The sequence below is a fragment of the Homo sapiens genome, chromosome X, assembly GCF_000001405.40.
Source record: "Homo sapiens chromosome X, GRCh38.p14 Primary Assembly".
NCBI classification, from domain to species: domain Eukaryota; kingdom Metazoa; phylum Chordata; class Mammalia; order Primates; family Hominidae; genus Homo; species Homo sapiens.
In genome coordinates, this window is record NC_000023.11 from 115,941,850 (window position 1) to 115,965,525 (window position 23,676).

Below are 23,676 nucleotides of genomic sequence, written 5' to 3' on the forward strand. Positions count from 1 at the left end.
CCTAAGGAACACTCTCAGAGCATCACACTCACAGCCTTGAGCTTAGGATCAATCAGATCCTGTAGGTCCAGGTCTTGCCCTGAGGCTTGGAAAAAAGAAGGTTGATTGACCCTAAAAGGCTCTGCCCACATAAGACCACTGGGCAACACTTTAGGAAACTCACAAGTATGAAACTGAGAAAGGACTAGAGCAGTTTTTGGCACCCATTTGGGAGGTGAAAGAAAAAAAAAAGGTGGAGATCTGGGCCTTGAGTCTTCCTACCAGGCCTGTGGGCAAGCACTGACCAGGGAGCATAGCCTCAGTCAGTTAAGAGCTGGCAAAAGCACAACTTAACCACGATGTTTTCCAGGAGTAGGCCATTAGGAAGATGGAGTGTATAAAATAGGCCATGTACCCAGGAGTATGTACCTCGTTCTTGGCTCGGCAGGACTGCTTGATGAGAAGTAGATCTGAGGGAAATGGGGAGGAGGCTAGGGCTGGATGCACAGAGAGAAATGGGCATGGAGAAAGGAAGGATGATGACAGAACCCTACAGTGGTTAGATTCTGGCATGGACTCCTGGCCCTTCTTGATTCCCAGCTACCTGGATAAACACAGGTTCAGACTTGGGAGAGCCAGGGGTGAATGGGAAGCAAGGCCAATTCCTGCTCATTGCCCTGAGGCTCCTGGGACTTTGAAGGAAGGTGGCCAAGAAGAACTCTGCAAAGGCAGGGATCTAGGCACTAGCTCTCTTTGGTGTGGGACACACAGCACTAAAAACAGGCTTCTGCCAGAAGTATGGCACTCTCAGGAGCAGGCACTGCAGCCAGTAAAGGGGCAGGTGGTAAAATGGCTGTAACCTCAGGGTGGGGATCCTTTGCAGAGATTTATGCTAGCCCTATCCAGACATGGCTACCAACAGAATCATGAGCCAGGGCTTCCAGTACAGGTCCCACCAGGTGCTCTGGGGGTCTTGACCTGGTGCTTGTCTCTGAAGCTTGACAGCCCCAAATGGCCATTGGCCACACTTCTCCCATGCATCCAGATAGCTCTGTTCCCTCCTGAAACCCCACTTCACTCCCAAGCCACTCCTCAGACAATCATGAGCAAGGGTTCATGGGATTGTCAAACAAGTTCTTCTAGATGGCACTATTATGCCAGAAATGCCAGCATTCCTTCCCCTCTTTCCTCCCCAATATTCCATCCCTCTGCCATTTGCTACTGAAGAAAAAGCCAGCCAGTGTTTATCCTGGCTGAATCCTTGGGGCTCCCAGTTCTCATTGCTGGTCCTCCATCTTGCAGGGCTTCATCCCAGTAGGGTGGTCTCAAACTTTCCTCTTGACAAGGAGAAATGGCTCTAATCATTACCTTATGATCATACCTAAAAGCCATGGCTGAATCTTTAGCACTGGAGCTGGCTGAGACCACAGGAAAATATCTTGAGTCTGGGCAGAGAGTTGGAGCCAGACTTAAACTCTGCTTACCAAGTAACATTTTGACTTGGACATTGACATAAGCCACTAAAAGGTCAGCTTGACCCAGAGGTCTCAGGATGCAATACCCACAAAATGGTGGCGCAGCGGCACCAGAACTGGGGTGAACAGTGAGGAAAAACTGCCATCACAAGACAATGTGGCCTGAGGACCCCGCTCCTTTCACATGGCCGTACCCTCCAGATGAGGAATGGTCTCCAGACAAGGAAGGTTGCACGCTTGGGTCAGTGAGGAGGGGAGACAGGAGCCAAACTAGAGATACCCATCCTCCTCATATGTGATGTCCATGCCAGGATCAATGGCAGGACAATTCTTACAAGCAGGCTTGTGGTAGGTGTACTTCTGATGGCTTGTGTGGAATAACACCTCTTCAAGACACATTCCCCCACATTTCTCCTCAGTATGTCAAGAGACAGACATAAGGGACATTGAGCGATTGGCACCAGGCTGCGTGAGTGTGGCCTCCCACCCCTTTTAGCCCAATCACCCTCTAACAGTTAAGGCAGAGTGCACTCCATGTCCTCACCAGTCAGGAGGGCCATTGTGCAGTGAGTTGGGCCCAAGAGGGATTGGGAGATAATGGGCAGGACAAGAAGGCAGAGCTGTACTCAACACCAATAAGGTGAAGGCCCAAAAGACCTGTCTGTCTTCCCTGGGTCTCCAACAGACTTTCTCTTCTTAAGTGAGGCCAGGACCACTTCTTAAAAGTAACTCTGGGAGCCCAAAGATCCCATAACTGGCAGATGGCCAGCCTCCCAGAGTCCCAGTCCCAACCCATTTCCCCTCTCCCCTACACTACAGGACACTGACCTCAAGTTCCAAGAAATGATCCCAATCCCCTGAAGGAAACACATCTTGCCTAGGTGCTCATCCATGCACTTCCTACTTTGGGCCTCACTATCAGGACCTCATTCAAAAAGTCTTTCCTACTAAGCATGGTGGAAAGCTACAGAATAGGGCACCATTGCCCCATGCCAGTTATCTACATGCCTCAGCAGTGTCTTCTGTAGATGGGCTGAAATCCCAGAACCACTGCCCATTTCATAGGATAAAACAGACTTTTTTAAAAACATAATTATTTTAATTAACCTTTTTCATATAAATGCCATCAGTGACACTTCATACACAAACATGATTTTCATGTCATTTCAGTATAAATTCATTGAGCATCTACTTTGTGCTTGTTGCAAAAAGGAATGAGACAAAGCCCTGCCATCAGAGAATCCTCAGTCTGTGTTACCATTGCCGTATGTCTTAGGGCATGGTTGGAGATCAAGAATAGAAAAGCCACTAAAATCTACTTAGGTAAAAGAGAACCGACAGGCCTGCTGTGGGTGATTGGAACAGAAAATGACCAAAGATGTTACTTTCTTCATTGCCATGTTATCTCTTCCTCTGCTTCCCTCATTTTATATTTCTCTCTTTCTCCCACCTTTTCTCCCCCTCCCCATCCAACCCATTTGCAGATTGCCTTCCTTTGCTCTCCTACTACACCATCCACCATGGCTTACACTGGATGGTGCTCTCAGCCTCCAACACGTGCTGGCAACTGTCCAGGTCCAGCATTACTGTCTGTTAACTTGACTGTCTCCATTGTAATCCCAAGTGGCCAGCAAGAGACTCCAAAGGGCCTACCATGGACAGGTTTCCAACCCTAGCCCAAACAGCTATGGCTGGGGAGTGGGGAAAGGATGCCCAAGGTCATATTGAATGGTATGCAAGGGACCGCTCTTTCTGGGGCTGGACTCAAAGGTATGGGATGATGGCTTCTGTAAAATATAATGTGATAGCCAGGCGCGGTGGCTCACGCCTGCAATCCCAGCACCTTGGGAGGCTAAGGTGGGTGGACCGCCTGCGGTCAGGAGCTCAAGACCAGAATGACCAACACGGCGAAACCCCATCTTCACTAAAAATGCAAAAATGAGCCGGGCATGGTGGCAGGTGCCTGCAATCCCAGCCACTTGGGAGGCTAAGGCAGGAGAACGGCCAGAAGCCAGGAGGCGGAGGTTGCAGTGAGCCGAGACCGCACTCCAGCCTGGGTGACAGAGCAAGACTCTGCCTAAAAAAAAAATTATATATAGATATATCTGTCTATCTATATATAATGTGATAAATGGTCTAATAGTTGCTCTACAGTACATACACCTCAGATTCACATTTTGCAGACTTCACAAATTCATAGAATTTTACAAATGTATGGGATTCCAGGAATCATTTGACACAATCCCCACACTTGAGCTCATTGTAAACCAAAGCTCGAGAGCAGATAAGGGTGGATCCCATAGTCTCTGACTTCTAGTTTACGCCAACATTTACCAAACCAGAGCAGTTTAAGACTACCTTTGACATGTGGGTTACCAAAGATAGTCCACACTGCATTATAGCATGTGGATTTGTTTGTCTTTTTTAGTATAATTTCTGTACCTACTAAGAACTTTCACATATATCATCCTATCTAGTCCTCCCAGCAATCATGAAAATAATTGTTAAGCCTATTTTGTAGATGATAAACTGAGACCCAAAGAAGTCAACAGATTTGCCTACACTTTACAGATCATATCAGGCAAAGCCAAGTTTTAAACCCATACGATTTGACTTCAGACCTCGCTCTTTCTGCTATGCCACACTGCCTTCACTCTCTGGGAATCAGTCAAGTGTCAATTTGTATTGTTTGAAAATTTTTTCTATATGTTATGATGTTTTGTTTTGTTTATTTATTTATTTATGACAGAGTCTTGCTCTGTCGCCCAGGCTGGGGCGCAGTGGCACGATCTCAGCTCACTGCAACCTCCGCCTCCCGGGTTCAAGCGATTCTCCTGCCTCAGCCCCTCAAGCAGCTGGGACCACAGGCACTTGGCACCACACCCAGCCAATTTTTGCATTTCCAGCAGAGATGGGGTCTCGCCGTGCTGACCAGGCTGGTCCGGAACTCCTGACCTCATGGGATCAGCCCGCCTCGGCCTCCCAAAGTGCCAGGACCACAGGCGTGAGCCACCGCGCCTGGCCAAAACAGACTTTTTGAAAAGGATAAGGAAGAGGATTCAGAAGGATAAAGAGCACTCACCCATAACCCTAGCATCTGGAGATGACCCGGGATCGCAGAGGTATCCTCTTTTTCTGTTCACTCTGTGTGCCCTGCAACAAGATAGCCAACTATCCTTCACTGGATTTTGGGCTGATTGTCAAAGTGATAGCCAAAAGGTGGCAGTGTATATATTCAACCCACCCAGCCAACTGAGAGAGTGCTTTCAGGCTAGGATATCAGCTCTTGGATCAACCGTGATTTCTGAAGAAAGTATAACATTAAAATCAACCCTAATTATTTATTGAAAAATCCCACAAATGTAATTTGAGGCTGTCATAAAGAGGCAGCTTTCCATGAACAGTCCCATATGAAACCAGAGGATACCTCTGACTTCTCTCATTCCTGTGGGGGAATCACAACCATCATGTCTTGGCATCTATCCTCACAGAGCTTCCTTCTTGGTCTGTGTACTTGTGTGGGTATGGAGAAATAAATTTCTTCACAAGTGTGTTTTCTCCATCATGCATAAATAAAATAACAGAGGGGAAATGAAAAGAATCTGGGAGTATGTTGACTCTGCACAGAGATGCAAAGTCCAGTGGAGGTGTTTTGTGAAAGCCACAAATTATAAGAGAGTCTATCACATGTAAGCATCTTGGTGTCAAAGAGAAAGTCAAAGGCAGACATACCTCTGCATTTGCCTTTATTCACACTGGACACTAAAAACATACACACAAGGAAAAATGACACAATTCTCACTGTAGGCAGAGTCAGGAGGATGAATAGAAGGCAGAGGGGAAACTTGGGAGTGTCCATCATGCAGTGTTAAGGGCTACCACTTAATTGGGAGGAATCTCTATCCACAGTGGCATCTCCAAGGTGGTTATGGGAGAAAGGAAGAGAAAAAGAAGAAAACACACATAGATACACAATTAAGGAAGAAAGTAGAGGCATGTGTGTTTGCATGTATACATGCATGTATGAATGCACAAATGAGTGAATGTGGGGGTGCTGCAGGGAGAGAAGACCCACACTTTCATGTAGAGCTTCCTTGAAGGGGCTGCAGAACCAAAGGCCCCCACCATGGTCACCTGCCTGTGTGGAACCACTGGGCCTTCCTTCTGACCCACGGAACCCCAATCTGGAGCACCCAATGGGGGACTGCCTACCTGAGACCCCTGGAGGTAAGCCAAGGCATCATTTCCCCAGTCTTCACAATTTACATGGCCCCTGCCAATTTCTGCTGCTCCCACAATGGCTTACTACTCCCTCTTGGGCCTCCTGAGCCAGTATACTGGATGAGGTTGTTTTGCTGGGCTCCCTTGGGCTTGGCCTGGCTCCATCAGTACAGAAGACAGCCAGTGACTCCATAATAAGAGGGAAAATCTAGGTACTAATTCCACCTCAAGCTATGAGTCAGTACCCCCATGAAAGAATTTTACCCAAGTTTGGTGTGGTGGCTCAATCCTGTAATCCCAGCACTTTGAGAGACTGAGGTGGGAGGATCAGTTGAGCCCAGGAATTTGAGACCAGCCTGGGCAACATAGCAAGACGTGTCTCTAAATATAAAAACAAACAAAAATCTACTCAAGATGATCCTTATAACACTCACAAATGTGCTCAGAAAACTAGGAACCCCTTTATAAAAAATTCAAACTTAAAGCTCATAAGGAGATGATGTAGAAAAACAAGTACATCTATTCTTTTTGATGAATGTTTGCACACAGACATATTTCTCACTGAGGGCCTGAGAAGAAGAAAACCCCTTCTCCCAACAGATTAAGCCCCACTTCCAGTGATTGGATTAGTTTTGGGCCTTCCTTGGCATTTTTTCATCCACAAAGGGTAGAGGGTAAGGTATGACAGGCCAGGTTGATTGGCATTTCTGGAGCAACAGTGCCATCAAGCGGAAGCTCTTTGAGCATGGATTCCAGCCCTTCTCCATGTATCTGGAGGGTAAGGTTTCTTATAGGAGAAAGGGTGGGTTTGGGGCACTCAGAAAATTCTGGGGCTGGATGTGTGCACCTGACTGGGTACCTCCAGAGTCAGTGTGAAAGCAAGGGAGCCAGGCTCACCCACTAAGGAACCCTGGCTTGTCAGGCCTGCCAAGCTCGGGAGGTGGTAGAAGCCAGGTCTCATTGGCTGCCATGTTTAGACACCTGCGATACTGGAGAGCATTCAGACTATGGATCTTTGCTCTTGGTGTAGATGTAAGTTCAGGGGAATAAAGGGGGAACTGCCCTGAAGGTCTCAGGGATGTGGGAAACCTGAGAACCAATGTCCCATCTGGAGGACCCAGACAAAGAAAAAGAGAAGGAAGAACAGCCACATTGCCAGGTGCAGCCCATAAAGAAAATAATTTCCTGATTGCTGGGTACTACAATGAGATAAGAAAGAGTAATTCAAGTGTGGTGCATTTCAAGTTTTTTTTCTGGTTTCTTATCTCTCCCCTCAAAGAAAGGCTGGGTTAAGCGTGCCACAGGATGCCATTCTTTCCATTTTCTCACTAGTGCAGAGAGTGCCAGTACCCACTGGTTATATATCAATTGAGCAGGACATCATCCTACAGAGTGAGTAGAACTGATTCTACATTGAGAATTCATTTCAGTTTGGGAATATTCCAGGATTGCCTGATTTCCTGGTCTCCAGGGGTAACATCCATTTTGGCTCCTCTTGGAAGATACCTAAATCAACACACATGGGGTTGCATGGTCCGTGGGCTTAGCTTTCCCATTGCATTGACTAAGGCTGAAGGAGCATGCTCAGACAACCAATCTCAAAGCTGCGGACCCGTCAGATTTTCTAGGTCTGGATTTGACCTCAGGGCTTGGCAAAGATAAGGCTGGTTGGCCCCCAAATATTCTGCCTACATACACTTAGGAAAATTCACACATGAAAAATAAAGCATAGCAAGCAGAGGATTTCAGCACCCATCTGGTAGGTTTCAAATAAAAAGGGTGAACTGCTGGGCTTTGAGATGTCCTACTTGACCTTTGGGAAAGTGCTGACCGGGAAGCAAATCCCCAGGAAGGCAGGAGCTAAGAAAGGGCACAACCCACCCTACAGGCTTTCCAGAAATGGCCTCTGGAGAGAGGCAGAAACTACAGAAAAAGGCTATGTGCCAATGAGCATGCACCTCCTTCCTAGCAAGGCACGCCTGATTAACAGGGGTTTGGAGGATAGGTGGGGGTGGGTGGATCTGGGCAAAATGGGGAAGAAGAACACTGGGGCTGGGCACACACACACACAAAATGCAGTTGGAAAACAGGAGGCAACTGAACCCAAAAATGAGAGATACATGAAGGGGGTCCTAAACTTTGAGTCTCAGCGACCACAGCAAGCACACATGGAGACTTCAAAAGGCAGGGGTTAAAGGAAAGTAACTTCCACTCTTGCGGATTGCCTAAATGTCCCCGACTCTTGGAAAAGTCAATCTGTAAAAAAGAAGTCTGCAAAGGCAGCCAACTAAATGCATGTTCCTTGTGGGAGGTAGAACCTGCAACACGGAGGACAGGTCTCTGCTACGGTGGCAGCAACCGTAAGACTTGGTACTGCAGGCAGCAAAGAGGGAGGAAGAACAATGGCCACAGGCTTTGTGAAAAGTCCTGAGCTGCTAGTCCCACCCATATCATGGCCACCACCAGGCTCCCAAGCCATGGCTTCCTGTATGAGAAATGCCAGGCATCCTGGCTGGCCAACTTATACTGGCACCTATATCTGAAGCTTCCATAGCCCCACTTCATTCAGGCCTCCAGGGAGCTCGGATTCCTGCAGGCAAAGGCCACAGTCCTGCCTGGTCCCCCACAGCATCCCAAGCCACTCCTCCTCAGGCAAGTACAGGGAAGGGTGCACAGGATTGCCAAGCGAGTTCCTCTTGATGGCAGTATTGCTCCAGAAATGCCCACCTGCCCTTCCCCCAGGTCCACTCCCTCCACCCTTTGCAGAGGAAAAAACACCAACCGTGCTCCGAACACAACCAATCACCATCTCGGCCACTTTAGGCCAGCTCTGGCCCACCTGCAGGGCCCTGTCCTTGGCAGATGGGACTCGGCGGGATCCTTCTACTAGCCTGCCTTCATGACAAACCAGAAAGCGGTCCCCTTGGACCACTCTGGGGATGGACCCAACCTAACCGCATCCCTAACGATACCCTTAGGATGGGAGGATGCTGGAACCCACAGGGAAGAGAAGGAGACTGGGCACACAGTAGGATCCCAGCCCTGGCCCTGCCCCCCGGGACACATTGGCACTTGGGCATTCTCATGGGTCACTGCAAGGCCAGCTTGACCAAGAGGTCAAAGGCGACTGGCGTCCCACTGACCGCTGGGGGTTTGGCCTCAAACTTCAGGTGAACCTACAATTCCAGAATAGTGGGACTGGGTCCTGGGCCCTTCTCACGTGGCAGCACCGGCAAGGGGCTGGGGGAAGAGCCCACACCAGCCTACGTCAGACAGGAGGGGAGCCAGTGGCCACCCCAAACATACCTGTCCTCCTCACACCTGACCTATGTCAACCTCTCGACGGTTCTGCCCAGAAGGCTTGAAGTAGAAAACACACAGAAGCATGTATGATGTTGAGGACTCATGTGTGCCATGGGGAAGCCATAGATGGGCAAGACCCAAGTGTTCCGATCTTCCTCCCCACACATATTCTGTGACAGAAACCCTATTTTGACCTCGTCGGGCAGTCAAGGCGTGGGCAAACGCCTAACGTCCGCTGCAGAAACACAGTGGCATTGAACGCTGTTGTCAAGACAGAGAAAACAGAAGGAACACACTACCTCAAGCTGCTACCTCCCTGACCCCTTCTGGACTCTTTGACCCCTATGCACTTCCCTTTGGGATTTTCCACAACCTATTTTATTTCTCTGTCTCTTTTTCTTTCTAGAGGTCTCTCTGTAACTAACTAACTCTCTCTCTCGCACACCACCTTCAGCCCCAACACTCACCCACTTCTACTGGAGCCCGCTTCCTCTCTTGCTCTGTCTCTATGTGATTGGGCTTCTTTGACTCTCCGGGAATTCCCATCAATGTGGGCCTTTAAAACGATAAGAGATGCAACTGAACGTGTGAGACATCGTGCACATAGGCTGAGAGGCGGCAAGAGAAATGCCCAAGAAATCAAGACCCCAGCTACCCCCTCTGCTTCTACCACCACCAGCAACACCACCCCAGGGATGTGCTTTCTGTTTCCCCCAAGCCAAGGTGAGGCAAGTCCCAGTTGAATGTCATCGTGCTGACATTAAACGTGCTTTGAGGTGGAAGGTGAATGTCTGTTTGGATGGCAGTGTTTCTGCACGTGGGCGAGGAGGGGCACATGTATCCACCTGGCTCACTCTCTAGCTGGATTCAGGTGGAACGGAGGACCATGAACCTTCTCGACCTTTTCTGCTTTGGTCCTGTGCTTCCAACGTTTCAGGCCTAAGAAGCCCATCACCTCCTTATGCCTTCTTTCAGTCCTTCCACAAAAAGCAAAACAAAACAAAACAAAACAAAACAAAACAAAACAAAACAAACCCAAAAAACAGGACATTCCACCTGTCACCTCAAGAGGGTCCTCTAGGTTCCTTTTCCATTCCTGAATTCTGTGAAGTGGTGCTGGTCTCCACCTTTTGGACACGAGCCCCTGTTCACTTGGGAGACACCTGAACACCCTTGGAAGGGAGAGTTAGCCGCAGGAGATGACCCAGTCCACTGCTGTACCAGACCGGGTCCTGCAAAGAGAGGCGTCCATCAAGCCTCATCCCTGCACACCACGTTGGGCCTAGCCCGATTCTCCCTCAGAGACCCACTTGAGGAGAGGCACAGGGATGCTGCCTGAGCAGCAGATCCTTCTGGCACGGAGCAGGCTGTCCCCAGGCCTGTCCGACAGGTCCTTGTTTCTAGGTGCTCTTGGCTTCCCAGACTTCAGCAGGCCTAGGAAGGCCCCGGTCTCCCTTAGCTGATGCCCAGAGAGTCTCCATTTCACAAGATTTGCCACCAAACCCATTGGTCAGTGCGCCTCTGATCACAGGGCCAGGTCCTGTGAACCCTCAAAGACAACTGGGATCCACTGAAGGCCCCCATGCAAAAATGAGCACCATAGTGAATGGCCCAGCTCCAAGACAACCTCGGGGACATGGACACAGCAAGACTGGGTCACATGTCTCAACAAGGTGGGGGCGTGGTGTCTCAGGGTGGCTGGGCCGGGCCTGGCTTCGCATCTACCTCATCAAGGACTGTGTGGTTACGGACCCTCCCATGGCCCACCTTCCTCCCTAGGACGCAAGGAGGAATGCCCTGGTGCCGACTAGCAATGGCTGCAGGACTCAGTTCTGAGAGGGGCCCCTCTTCACTGGCATGCAGTGTGGCCGAGGGAGCCTCCTGGGGCGAGAACCCAGCTAGGCCATCACCCTCTTTGCTCCCAAGGGAAGGGGTGCCAGGCAAACTGCCCATAGCCTCAAGCTAAGGCTCTCTGGCCAAGGCCTCTGCCAGTCCCGCCCAGATCATGGCTGTCACCAGGCTCCTGAGCTATGGCTTCCTGTACGGGAACCGCCAGCATCCTGGTTTTACAGCTCCTCCTGGTGCCTATCTCTGGGACTTGCATGGCCCCAACTGGACAAGGGCCCTGCTTCTGTCAGGCCTCCAGAGAGCTCAGATCCATCCAGGCACCGGCCCTAGTCCTGCCTGATCCCCCACAGCACGCCCTAGCCACTCCTCCCCAGGCAAAAACAGGGAAGGGTATGTGGGTTTGCCAAATAAGTTTCTCTTGATGGCAGTATTGCTTCAGAAATGCCCACCTGCCCTTGCCCCCGGTACTCCCTCCACCCTTTGATGAGGAAAAAATACCAACTGCACTACAAAAATGGCTGATCACCATCTCAGTCATTTTGGGCCAGCTCTGGCCCACCTGTGGGACCCTGTCCTTGGGAGACTGGGGTTGGGACTCAAACTTCAGGTGAACCTACAACTCCAGGATAGCGGGACTGGGTCCCTGGCCTTTCTCACGTGGTAGCCCCGGCAGGGGAATGGGCAGAGAGCCCACCCCAGCCTAGGTCAGACAGGAGGGGAGCCAGGTGCCTCCCCGAACACACCTGTTCTCACACCTGGCCTACATCAACATCTATACAGGTCTTCCCAGAAACCTTGACGTGCAAAACACATAAAGGCAGGCATTCCGTTGAGGAATCATGTGTGCTATGGGGGAGCAGTAAATTCGCAAGACCCACGTGTTCCGATGTAACTCCCCACATGTATTCTGTAACAGAAACCCTATGATGACTCTGTCAGGGAAGTCAAGGCATGGGCAAATGCCTAACTTGTGCTGCAGGAACACAGTGATATTGAACACTGCTCTCAAGACAGAAGAAACAGAAGAAATATACTACCTTCAATCTGCTACTTATCATTAAGGAAATTCAGGGTACGGACCCTGAATACCTTTTATTTCATGAGACTTGATTCATCTTTGGGTAATAAAAAACAGTTTTAAAGATTATTGGTAAAATGCAAATGTCTTCAAAATGTAAACATGTGGTCTAAATTATGTTCAAATATTAGGTTTGCTAAATACTTTAAGGTCATAAACTCCTTCTTTGGATTTTGAAATTTGTTTGACTTGCCTGCTTTACAACAAGGTAAGGCCTCGGAACATGTGGAGTTGGCTACACCCCTAGCTATGCTGGAAATAGTCAAACCTTATCAGCACCTAGTGCATAATTAATATAACTTACCAGGGTTTACATTAAAATTAAAATTGCTAAGAGTCACTATTATAGCATGTAATTGAGACTATAGAAACAGTTTTACATGCAAGGTGTGTAAGAAAAGTGAAATGTGTTTTTGGTAAAAGATTATAAGAAGGCATGGGAATGTAAATTTTTTAAAACCTCTAACATATTTAATAGGTTTCCCAAAATAGAATTTCCGCTTTAAAATTGTCTTTTATTTCTTTGACATGTTTAGTTACATGGGAAGCATTGTCAAAATAAAAAAAATGTTTAATGATCTTCAGGTTATATTTTAGTGAATAATATTAATAAATGTTCCAAAATTGTATGGAATTTCTAAAATTCTAATATGTCTGAGTATATGCTATCAATCATAATTATGGTTATTAGGTTAAGTTATTGTAGGCCACAGAAATAACCAAATTTCCTTGTATAAAGCTACTAACCCAAGTAGAACCAAAAATTAATTGGATACCAAAAAAAAATTATACTTTGTCAGATTTTCTTGTTAATCCAGCTGATACTGAAATAGTTTAGAAGTACAATTAATGAACTCCACAGTCTAAGTCAAATTACCTATGATAACCCATCAGTTATCAGTGGTATGCACCTAATTGGGAGAAACAACTGATATTAAAGAGGATATAAGTCTAATGTTAATTAAGCATGGACTCATAGAGAACCAGGATGGCCACCTTGTCCTTCCTGAGTCCTTAAAGCTTTTATTATTAAAAGTTCTGTATTCCATGACTCATCATGGAAAAGATAAAATAACCCAAATTGAATATATTGGTGTGGTGTCTTATAAATTGCTAAAGTAATTTATAACCAATGCTTGTTCCCATATTCCTGGGAAAACAATCAAAGCTTCAGGTACATTTGGTAACCTGATGGGCCATTTAAACATTTTATAAAAGGATTTCATTCAATTGTTATTTTCAATGCATGTTTTCTGGTTGTGTAGAAGCTCTCCCATGCAACAGGGCTGTTATAACACTAAGTTATTATGCCACAGTGTATTTTCGCCAGGTAAAGAAAGCTTTTTATGGTTCACCGAGACAATTACCCCCTATACAATCTACAACCCAAAGATAGGACTTTTTTTTTTTTTTTTTTTTTTTTTGAGACAAAGTCTTGCTCTGTCTCCCAGGCTGGAGTGCAGTGGTGCAATCTTGGCTCACTGTAACCTTTGCCTCCTAGGTTCAAGCAATTCTCCTGCCTCAGTTTCCCAAGTAGCTGGGATTACAGGCATGCACCACCATGCCCGGCTAATTTTTGTATTATTATTATTATTAATTATTACTTTTAGTAGAGATGGGGTTTCGCTAAGTTGGCCAGGCTGGTCTTGAACTCCTAACCTCAAGTGATCTGCCTGCCTCGGCCTCCCAAAGCGCTGGATTTACAGGTATGAGCCATCGCACTGGACCCAAAGATTGGATCTTCTGAGAACATCAGAGAAAGACTGTCCTTGCCACCCACATTGCAGCAAAACTTTCGAACCTTGAACTCTGGGTTCATAATCTCACAACTGAGAAGGGTCCGTCCACAGTCTTGGAACTGTACATCCACTGGAACCCTTAAGGTAAAAGTAACGAGGGAATTTTCTCCCTAGAAGAAGATGGCATCCTTGATGTAAACAGCTTTTCAAGAGTTCACAGATTAAGACTTCTACTATCATGAGACTCTTATCTTTGAATATGTTTTCTTGCTTATGCCTCTATGAACAATAGAAGTAGAAAAGTGGTCTGTTATGTGCACTTATAGGGTATAATTTTATTTGTGAAGGAGTTTGGAGCCAGCCTTATACATGGATAACCTTATACTTTGAAAGATAAAAGATGAAGGCCCAATGTAGGTGAGAAACTTTAATGGTACATACATTGCCTCGTAATCAGTTGGAAACAGAACATTGGTTCACTCTTCTTCACCCACATCACAGGTTAAAGAGAACATTGTCAGAAGGCCTTCACTCTTCTAGAAAGGCATCATTTGTTAGGTCCTTTTTCCATTGTTTGGAGTAAAAGAAGCAATGTAAAAGGAGAAATGTATCCCTCATGATAGGTTCTATAGCAAATTCCACCATAAAGGCTACAGTTACACAAAAGACTTTAAATTCTCTTGTGAAAGTTATGATAGAATTGGCTGAATAGAGAAGTATCTGTGCAGCTGCTGGCACTTATGGCCTATGGAGGAAACATCGGGTATTATAGAGATTCAGGTGTAGCTGATTAATGAAGAAACTGCCTAGTTAAGGGAATAGACTCTTTATCGAGCTCATTCTTGTATCTATTTGATTTTAGGAGGTTTGGTTTATGTGGATCCTGGGTAAGGAGCATACTCCAAACCAAACTCTTAGTCATAATAATAGTCTCCCTGGTGCACTGTCTTCTCTCAGAGGTTGTTTTTTTTTTTTTTTTTTTTTTTGAGATGGAGTCTTGCTCTGTTGCCCAGGCTGGAGTGCAGTGGCAGGATCTCCGCTCACTGCAAGCTCCATCTCCCGGGTTTATGCCATTCTCCTGCCTCAGCCTCCCAAGTGCTGGGACTATAGGCACCTGCCACCATGACTGGCTAGTTTTTTTTGTATTTTCAGTAGAGACGGGGTTTCACCATGTTAGCCAGGATGGTCTCGATCTCCTGACCTCGTGATCCGCCCACCTCAGCCTCAAAGTGCTGGGATTACAGGCGTAAGCCACCGTGCCCGGCCCTCTCAGAGGTTTTAAATGCTTGCATGCAGCCATCTCTAGAATGTCAAATGGTTTCTCTTCAACTGGAATGACAAGAGCTGAAAGAAATGTGTGACTATAAGGCCACTGATGAATGACAGGCTGAGACCAGAAACCCAAAATGATGGTAACTGAGAGCGTCGCTAAGGCCCTAAGTTTTGGTCATACTCTCATCTAAGTGAGAAACTGACCAAAAAGGGAATTTTTTAAAAAACAAAATTGTGGGAGGCCATTGTTTTGGATTGAGCTTATGCACTAGGCCTCAAAAGACCAAACCAAACCAAACTGGAGTCGCTTGTGTTAAAACTTTAAGGAAACACAGGTCCTAGAACAGACCAGGTTTTGTTTTTCTCCGGCAAATCTCTAGAACAAACATTCCTGACAGCATATGTAGACACCCCCTGAAGTTCCCATTAAATCTTTTAACCAAATTCATTTCTTCTCACATAGAGACCATCAAGCTTCAGATAATCATGCAACAAAGGTTCCAGGCAGTTCCAGGTGAAGACATCACCCCTGGCCACTAAGGAGCTACCCTGCCTCCACTAGACAGAGCAGGGTGAGAGTTCCATAATTCCCGACAGGTAGGGACTACCCCCTAAGCCAGCAGAAAGCAGTTAGAGGAGAAAGACCATCAGTCCCTCCACCTGCCATAAAGATTTATGAGATCACACCTCTCGGGGGGAAATGTGGTAGGAGAACAGGGTCTGGAGGCAGGAAACATAAGGCCATTTCATGCTGACTTCCTAGAACTAAATGAAATGGAAACACTTCAGCTATGACAGGTAATATCCTTTCTATTTACACAGGGCATAAGCCGAGTAAATAACTCTGTAATGTTACTTCATCCTTTTCATTTACATAGGGCATACCCCAGGTAGCCAATAGAAACCTCTAGAGGGTATTTAAACCCTAGAAATTTCTGTAATGGGGCTCTTGAGCCCCTATGCTCAAGCCCGCTCCCACCCTGTAGAGTGTACTTTCATTTTCAATAAATGTCTGCTTTTACTGCTTCCTTCTTTCCTTGCTTTGTTTGTACATTTTGTCCAATTCATTTTTCAAGATGCTAAAAACCTTGACACCCTCCACTGGTAACACTGGGAGTGGCCCATCCTCACTGCTGTGCACTGTGGCCAAGAGAGCCTCCTGGGGCCGAGGACCCAGCTAGGCCATCACGCCAATTGCTCTCAAGAAAAGGGGCACCAGGCAAACTGCCTGTGGCCCCGAGCAAAAGCTCCTTGGCTGAGGCCTCCATTAGTCTCACCCAGATCATGGCCACCACCAGACTCCTGAGCCATGACTTCCTGTACGGAACGTGCCAGGTGTCCTGGCTGGCCACCTCATCCTCAGTGCCTATTTCTGGGGCTTCCACATCCCGACCCAGCCACGGGCCCCACTTCCCTTGGGCCTCCAGAGAGCCTGGATCTATCTGGGCACTGGCCCTAGTCCTGCCTGGTCCCCTATAGCACTCCCAAGCCGCTCCTCCCCAGGCAAGCACAGGGAAGGGTGCGTGGGATTGCCAAATGATTCCTCTTGATGGCAGTATTGCTCCAGAAATGCCCACCTGCCCTTCCCCCAGGTCCACTCCCTCTGCCCTTTGCTAAGAAAAAAAAGCCAACCATGCTCTGAACATGGCTGATCACCATCTCAGCCACTTTTGGCCAGCTCTGGCCCACCTGCGGGACCCTGTCCTGGGGAGAATGGCCTTGGCGGGGTCCTCTTAGCCTGCCTTCCTGACAAACAGGGAAGTGGTCCCCTTGAACCGTCCAAGGGATGGACCCAACCTAAACACATCCCTAACTGTGCCTTTAGCATGGGAGGATGGTGGAGCCCTCAGGGAAGAGAAGAAAATTGGGCACGCAGTAGGATCTGAGCCCAACCCCTGCTTTCCAGGAGACATATGCACTTGGGCATTCTCACGGGTCACTGCAAGGGCAGCTTGACCAAGAGGTCAAAGGCGACCAGAGTCCCACTGTCCCCTGGAGGTTGGGATTCAAACTTCAGGTGAACATACAATTTTGAGATATGCTACTGCAGTTTTGAATAAACATGGTGGTAAGCAGAGTCCCTAGCCTAGGCTTCCTGTGCCTTTCAGCTCAGGCTCCCTGGCTGGTTGTCTCCTCCTGGTGCCTGTGTTTGGAGGTTGCAAAGTCTGAGCTGTTCCCAGGAGATGCTTTATATATGCATTTTGGAGTGTGGTTCTGCTGCGTGTCCCCTCAGCCTAGGACTTTGTTTTCCATTTCCAATGCACCACAGGAAGGTTTGATAGGGAAGGATGAGGAGTGGTGAGGTGAGTCAGTGTGGGAGAAAATAGGAAGTTGGAGGAAGATGGAAGAGGGGAAGAGGGGAAGATGGGTGACTGGTTTGGGAAAGAGTTTCCTTTAGATGGCAGTATTTTACCAGAAATGTTAACATGCCCTTTGGTGCCACCCACTCAGTTACCTCTTCCTCCATCATTTGCCACTGAAAAAAAGCCAACCAGCATTAAAGTGATTGTCACTAAGTGACTCCCAGCTCTCACAGTTGGTCCTCCAGTGTGCAGGGCATCTTTCTGGTAGAATGGTCTTTAGCTTCCTCTCAGAGAAAAATAAATTTGTCCCCACCATGTAACTCTAGGAATGGATCCAAACATATCTACCCATGGTTCTATCTTTAACACTGGATCTGGTCAAGACTATAGGAAATGTCTTTAGTCTGGGCACAGAGTTGAAGTCAAATCTACTTTGGACCAGTGGGAACATTCTGTCTTGGGCATTTTTACTATAATATAATTTAACCTTGAGGTCTCAGGCAGCTAGACACAAAGAGAGGCAGCCCTGAGGCATCAGGACTGGCATGAAGTATGATGCAAAACTGCCATCCCAAGACAACAGGGCCTGAGGACCCAGCTCTTCTCACAATGCTGTCCTCTTGTCTTCAGGCTACGATGGTCCTACTTTTAGGTCAGTTAGATATAAGATCTCAGAATACTTGGCACTTGAAAACTCTATTCAAACCTCTGCACTAAAGGACTTACCAAAATCTAGAATGTCTTCTAGCAGTGTCCCTGGGATGGCCCAGCCCTACTTATCATGTTTACCACAGAATTCTCACAGTTGAGAAAAAAATGTAGTTTTTTTTTCTAGCTAACACATACTTGATAATATTTAAACTTCCTTTCTTAGAGCACTCCTAAAAAGAGCTTACAATCTCCTAAAAAGAGATCTTTGGGTCATTGATGAAATTAAGACAGAATTTTTTTTAAAAAATTGAAATCAGGAGAGAGACAGCATCATGACAGACAGAAGGCAGGACTAGATTATAGCTCCGGACAGAGCAGCATGCAGCGTCTTGCATTGTGAATTTTAGCTCCAGATCAACTGCAAGAACAAACCAGCAATCCTGAGAGGATTCACAGACCCTCTAAAGGAAACAGACTGCACCTGCAGGACCCAGGAGACACCCCAAATACTATGAGTGCCCCAACTGTAGAAGTGGGAAAGGGAGACCCCCTTCCCCCTTCTCCTGAGCACACCCCGACTGGAGAAGCCGAAGGTCAGTTTGCAGGAGAGGTTTCCGACTTTACCTGCAGCTGAGTCAAGTTAGAGAGATGAGTAAAATACAGGGGTAGAGGAAGCAGCAGAAAGGCCCTGGGAGCTCACTGGGTCCCCAAGCAGCCCATTCCTGCCTGGCACCACAGGGATCCATCGGAGGGTGGCCAGAGGAGCAAGGGGTAAAACTCCACAGGGAGAAAGAATTCTCTAGCTGAACTTTGTAACAATTTGAATGGGGTGAGAAGCCTCCTGACCAGAACTCAGGGGAGGGTGTGAATCAGGCTTGCAGACTTCACAGGCGGTGGAAGAACTTTTCTCTTGCAGCTGGGAGGCAGATAACCTTGGGCAAGTTTTCAAGCCCAACTTGACCACTGCCTGGAAATAGACTCAGGGCTGTTTGCGGGGGCACAGTGGACATGAGACTGGCCCTACCATTTGTGTGGGAGCTGGGTGAGGCCTGTGACTGCCAGCTTTCCCTCACTTTCCTGACAACCTGCATGACTCAGCAGAGGTAGCCATAATCTTCCTAGGTACACAGCTCCAATGACGTGGGAATCTCACCCCCATCCTCCACAGCAGCTGGAGCAAGACCCACCCATGGAGAGTATTTACTGAGCTCAGACATGCCTAGCCCCACCCCTACTTGATGGTCCTTCCCTGTCCACCCTGGTAGTGTAAGACAAAGGGTATATAATCCTGGGAGTTCTAGGGCCCTACCCACTACCAGTCCCTCTCCACACTACTATAGCTGATGATTTCTGGAAAGCACCACCTCCTGGCAGGAGGCCAACCAGCATAAAAATAGAGCATTAAACCACCAAAGCTAAGGACCCTCATGGAGTCCATTGCACCCTCTGCCATCTCCACTGGAACAGGCACTGGTATCCATGGCTGAAAGACCCATAGACAGTTCACATTACAGGACTCTGTGCAGACAACCCCCAGTACCAGCCTGGAGCTGGGTAGACTCACTGGGTGGCTAGACCCAGAAGAGAGACAACAATCACTGCAGTTTGGCTCACAGGAAGCCACATCCATAGGGAGAAGAGAGTAGTACATCAAGGAAACACCCTGTGGGACCAAAGAATCTGAACAACAGCCTTCAGCCCTTGACCTTCATTCTAACAGAGCCTACCCAAATGAGAAGAAACCAGAAAACCAACCCTGGCAATATGACAAAACAAGGCTCTTCAACCCCCCCCCCAAAATCACACTAGTTCCCCAGCAATGGATTCAAATCAAGAAGAAATCGCTGATTTACCTGAAAAAAATTCAGGTTAGTTATTAAGTTAATCAGGGAGGGACCAGAGAAAGGCGAAGCCCAATGCAAGGAAATCCAAAAAATGATACAAGAAGTGAAGGCAGAAATATTCATGGAAATAGATAGCTTAAAGAAAAAACAATAAAAAATTCAGGAAATTTTAGACACACTTTTAGAAATGTGAAATGCTCTGGAAAGTCTCAGGAATATAATTGAACAAGTAGAAGAAAGAAATTTATAGCTCAAAGACAAGGTCTTCGAATCAACCCAACCCAACAAAGACAAAGTAAAAAGAATAATAAAATATAAACAAAGTCTCCAAGAAGTCTGGGATTATGTTAAACAACTGAACCTAAGAATAATTGGTGTACCTGAGGGAGAAGAGAATTCTAAAAGCCTGGAAAACATATCTTGGGGAATAATCAAGGAAAACTTCCCCAGCCTTGCTAGAGACCTAGACATCCAAATATAAGAAGCACAAAAAATACCTGGGAAATTCATTACAAAAAGATCTTTGCCTAGGCACACTGTCATCACTTTATTCAAAGTTAAGATGAAGGAAATAATCTCAAGAGCTGTGAGACAGAAGCACCAGGTAACCTATCAAGGAAAACCTATCAGATTAACAGCAGATTTCTCAGCAGAAACCTTATAAACTAGAAGGGATTGGGGCCCTATCTTCAGCCTACTCAAACAAACAATTATCAGCCAAGAATTTTGTATCCAGCGAAACTAAGCATCATATATGAAGCATATATGAAGGAAAGATACAGTCGTTTTCAGACAAACAAATGGTGAGAACACTCGCCATTACCAAACCACCACTACAAGAACTGCTAAGAGGAGCTCTAAATCTTGAAAGAAATCCTGGAAACATATCAAAACAGAACCTCTTTCAATCATAAATCACATAGGACCTATAAAACAAAAATACAAGTTTAAACAATCATTTACTATGTCATTTTTCTTTACCTTGAAGAACATAAACTGTTATTTCAGTTCTACAAATCAGCAAGATATTATTTATGGCAAGAAATATTCCATTGAAATGTGCTGTAATGTGGGAAAATGTAAATGTTTTTCATGGTTTCTACCAATGTGAAATAAAACTTAATTCTGACTTTTCTGCGGAAAAAAAAAGCAAAAACAAAAAACAAAAAACACCAAGTACACAGACAACAAAAAGCACAATGAAAGTAATGGTACCTCACATTTCAATACTAACATTGAATGCAAATGGCCTAAATGCTCCACTTAAAAGATACAGAATCACAAAACGGATAAGAACTCACCAACCATCTGCTGCCTTCTGGAGACTCACCTAACATATAAGGACTCACATTAACTTAAAGTGGTGGAAAAAGGCATTTCATGCAAATGGACACCAAAAGTGAGCAGGGGTAGCTATCCTTATAACAGGCAAAACAAACTTTCAAGCAACAGCGGTTAAAAGAGACAAAGAGGGACAGCATATAATGGTAAAAGGCCTTGTGCAACAGGAAAATATCACAATCCTAAACATATATACACCTAACACTGGAGCTCCCAAATTTATAAAACAATTACTAATAGACCTAAGAAATGAGATAGACAGCAACACAATAATAGTGGGGGACTTCAATACTTCACTGACAGCACTAGACAGGTCATCAAGACAGAAAGTCAACAAAGAAACAATGGATTTAAACTATACCTTGAAACAAATGGACTTAAGAGCTACATACAGAACATTTTCTCCAACAACCACAGAATACACATTTTATTCAACAGCACATGGAACTTTCTCCTCAGATAGGCCATAAGATAGGCTTCAAAACAAGCCTCAATAAACTTAAAAAAAATTGAAATTATACCAAGCACTCTCAGACCATAGTGGAATAAAACTGGAAATCAACTCCAAAATAAACCTTCAAAGCCATGCAATTACATGGAAATTAAATAACCTGCTCCTGAATGAGCATTGGGTCAAAAATGAAATAAAGATGGAAATTTAAAAATTCTTTGAATTAAATGACAATAATGACACAATCTATCAAAACCTCTGGAATACAGCAAAGGTGGTGCTAAAAGGAAAGTTCATAGCTATAAACACCTACATCCAAAAGTCTGAAAGAGCACAAATAGACAATCTAAGGTCACACTTCAAGGAACTCGAGAAATAATGACAAACCAAACCCAAACTCAGCAGAAGAAAGGAAATAACCAAGATCAGAGCAGAACTAAATGAAATTGAAACAAAAAAAATACAAAAGATCAATGAAACAAAAAGCTGGTTCTTTGAAAAGATAAATAAAATTGATAGACCATTAGTAAGATTAACCAAGAGAAGAGAGAAAATCCAAATAACCTCGCTAATAAACAAAACAGAAATTATTACAACTGACACCACTTAGATACAAAAGATCATTCAAGGCTACTATGAATGCCTTTATGCATATAAACTAGAAAACCTAGAAGAAATCGATATATTCCTGTAAAAATACAACTCTCTTAGCTTAAATCAGAAAGAATGAGATACCCTGAACAGACCAATAACAAGCAGCGAGATTGAAATGGTAATTTAAAAATTACCAACAAAAAAAGTCCAGGATCAGATAGAGTCACAGCAGAATTCTACCAGATATTCAAAGAAGAATTGGTACCAATTCTTTTGACACTATTCCACAAGATAAAGAAGGAACCCTCCCTAATTCATTCTATGAAGCCAGCATCACCCTAATACCAAAACTAGGAAAGGACACAACCAAAAAAGAAAACTACAGACAGATATCCTTGATGAACACAGATGCTAAAGTCCTTAGCAAAATACTAGCTAACTGAATCCTACAACATATCAAAAACATAATCCAGCTGGATCAAGTGGGTTTCATACCAGGGATGCAGGGATGGTGTAATATATGTAAGTCAATAAATGTGATACACCACATAAACAGAATTAAAAACAAAAATCACATGGTCATCTAAATAAATGCAGAAAAACCATTTGACAAAATCCAGCATCCTTTATGATTAAAACCCCCAGCAAAATCAACATACAAGGGACACACCTTAATGTAATAAAAACCATTTGTGACAAACCCACAGCCAACATAATACTGAATGGGGAAAAGTTGAAAGCATTCCCTCTGAGAACTGGAACAAGACAAGGATGGCCACTCACCACTCCTTTTCAACATAGTACTGGAAGTCCTAGCCAGAGCAATCAGACAAGAGAAAGAAATGAAGGACATCCAAAATGGTAAAGAGGAAGTCAAACTGTTACTGTTTGCTGATGATATGATTGTTTACCTTGAAAACCCTAAGGACTCCTCTAGGAAGCACCTAGAACTGATAAAAGAATTCAGCAAAGTTTCCGGATACAAGATTAATGTACAGAAATCAGTAGCTCTTCCATACAACAACAGTGACCAAACAGATAAACAAATCAAGAACTTAACTCTTTTTACAATAGCTGCGGGGAAAAAAAACAACAACAAAACAAAAACAAAAAAAAAAACAACACTTAGGAATATACCTAACAAAGGAGTCGAAAGACTTCTACAAGAAAACTACAAAACACTGCTTAAACAAATCATAGATGACACAAACAAATGGAAACACATCCCATGCTCATTGATGAGTAGAATCAATATTTTGAAAACGACCATACTGCCAAAAGCAATCTATAAATTCAATGCAATCTCCACCAGAACACTACCATAATTCTTCACAGAGTTAGAAAAATCAATCCTAAAATTCATATGGAATCAAAAAAGATCCCACATAGCCAAAGCAAGACTAAGCAAAAATAACAAATCTGGAGGCATCACACTACCTGATTTCAAACTATACTATAAGAACAGTCACCAAAACAGCGTGATACTGGTATAAAAATAGGCACATAGACCAATGGAACAGAATAGAGAACCCAGAAATAAACCCAAATACTTACAGCCAACTGATCTTCGACAAAGC

The 23,676-nt window shown here is 45.4% G+C and overlaps 1 long non-coding RNA gene across 2 annotated transcripts in view, besides 1 other annotated feature; it reads right to left on the bottom strand.

The window, feature by feature from the left end:
* The window catches only part of DANT2 (DXZ4 associated non-coding transcript 2, distal), a 128,716-nt gene that overhangs the window by 101,454 nt on the left and 3,586 nt on the right, over positions 1–23,676 (bottom strand). Inside the window, exon 2 of one of the 2 annotated variants that reach the window (NR_130730.1) lies at positions 4,537–4,607. The exons of the other annotated variant lie outside the window; for it this stretch is intronic. This is a non-coding gene — a long non-coding RNA (DXZ4 associated non-coding transcript 2, distal). The remainder of the gene's footprint in view (positions 1–4,536; positions 4,608–23,676) is intronic. 2 annotated transcript variants of the gene reach the window in all.
* Positions 18,388–18,888: an enhancer, noted in NCBI's record as "H3K27ac hESC enhancer chrX:115076570-115077070 (GRCh37/hg19 assembly coordinates)". NCBI's record gives its function as "activates a minimal SCP1, AML or CMV promoter by ChIP-STARR-seq in primed H9 embryonic stem cells {active_cell/tissue: H9 hESC(primed)}" and the evidence as "EXISTENCE:reporter gene assay evidence [ECO:0000049][PMID:30033119]".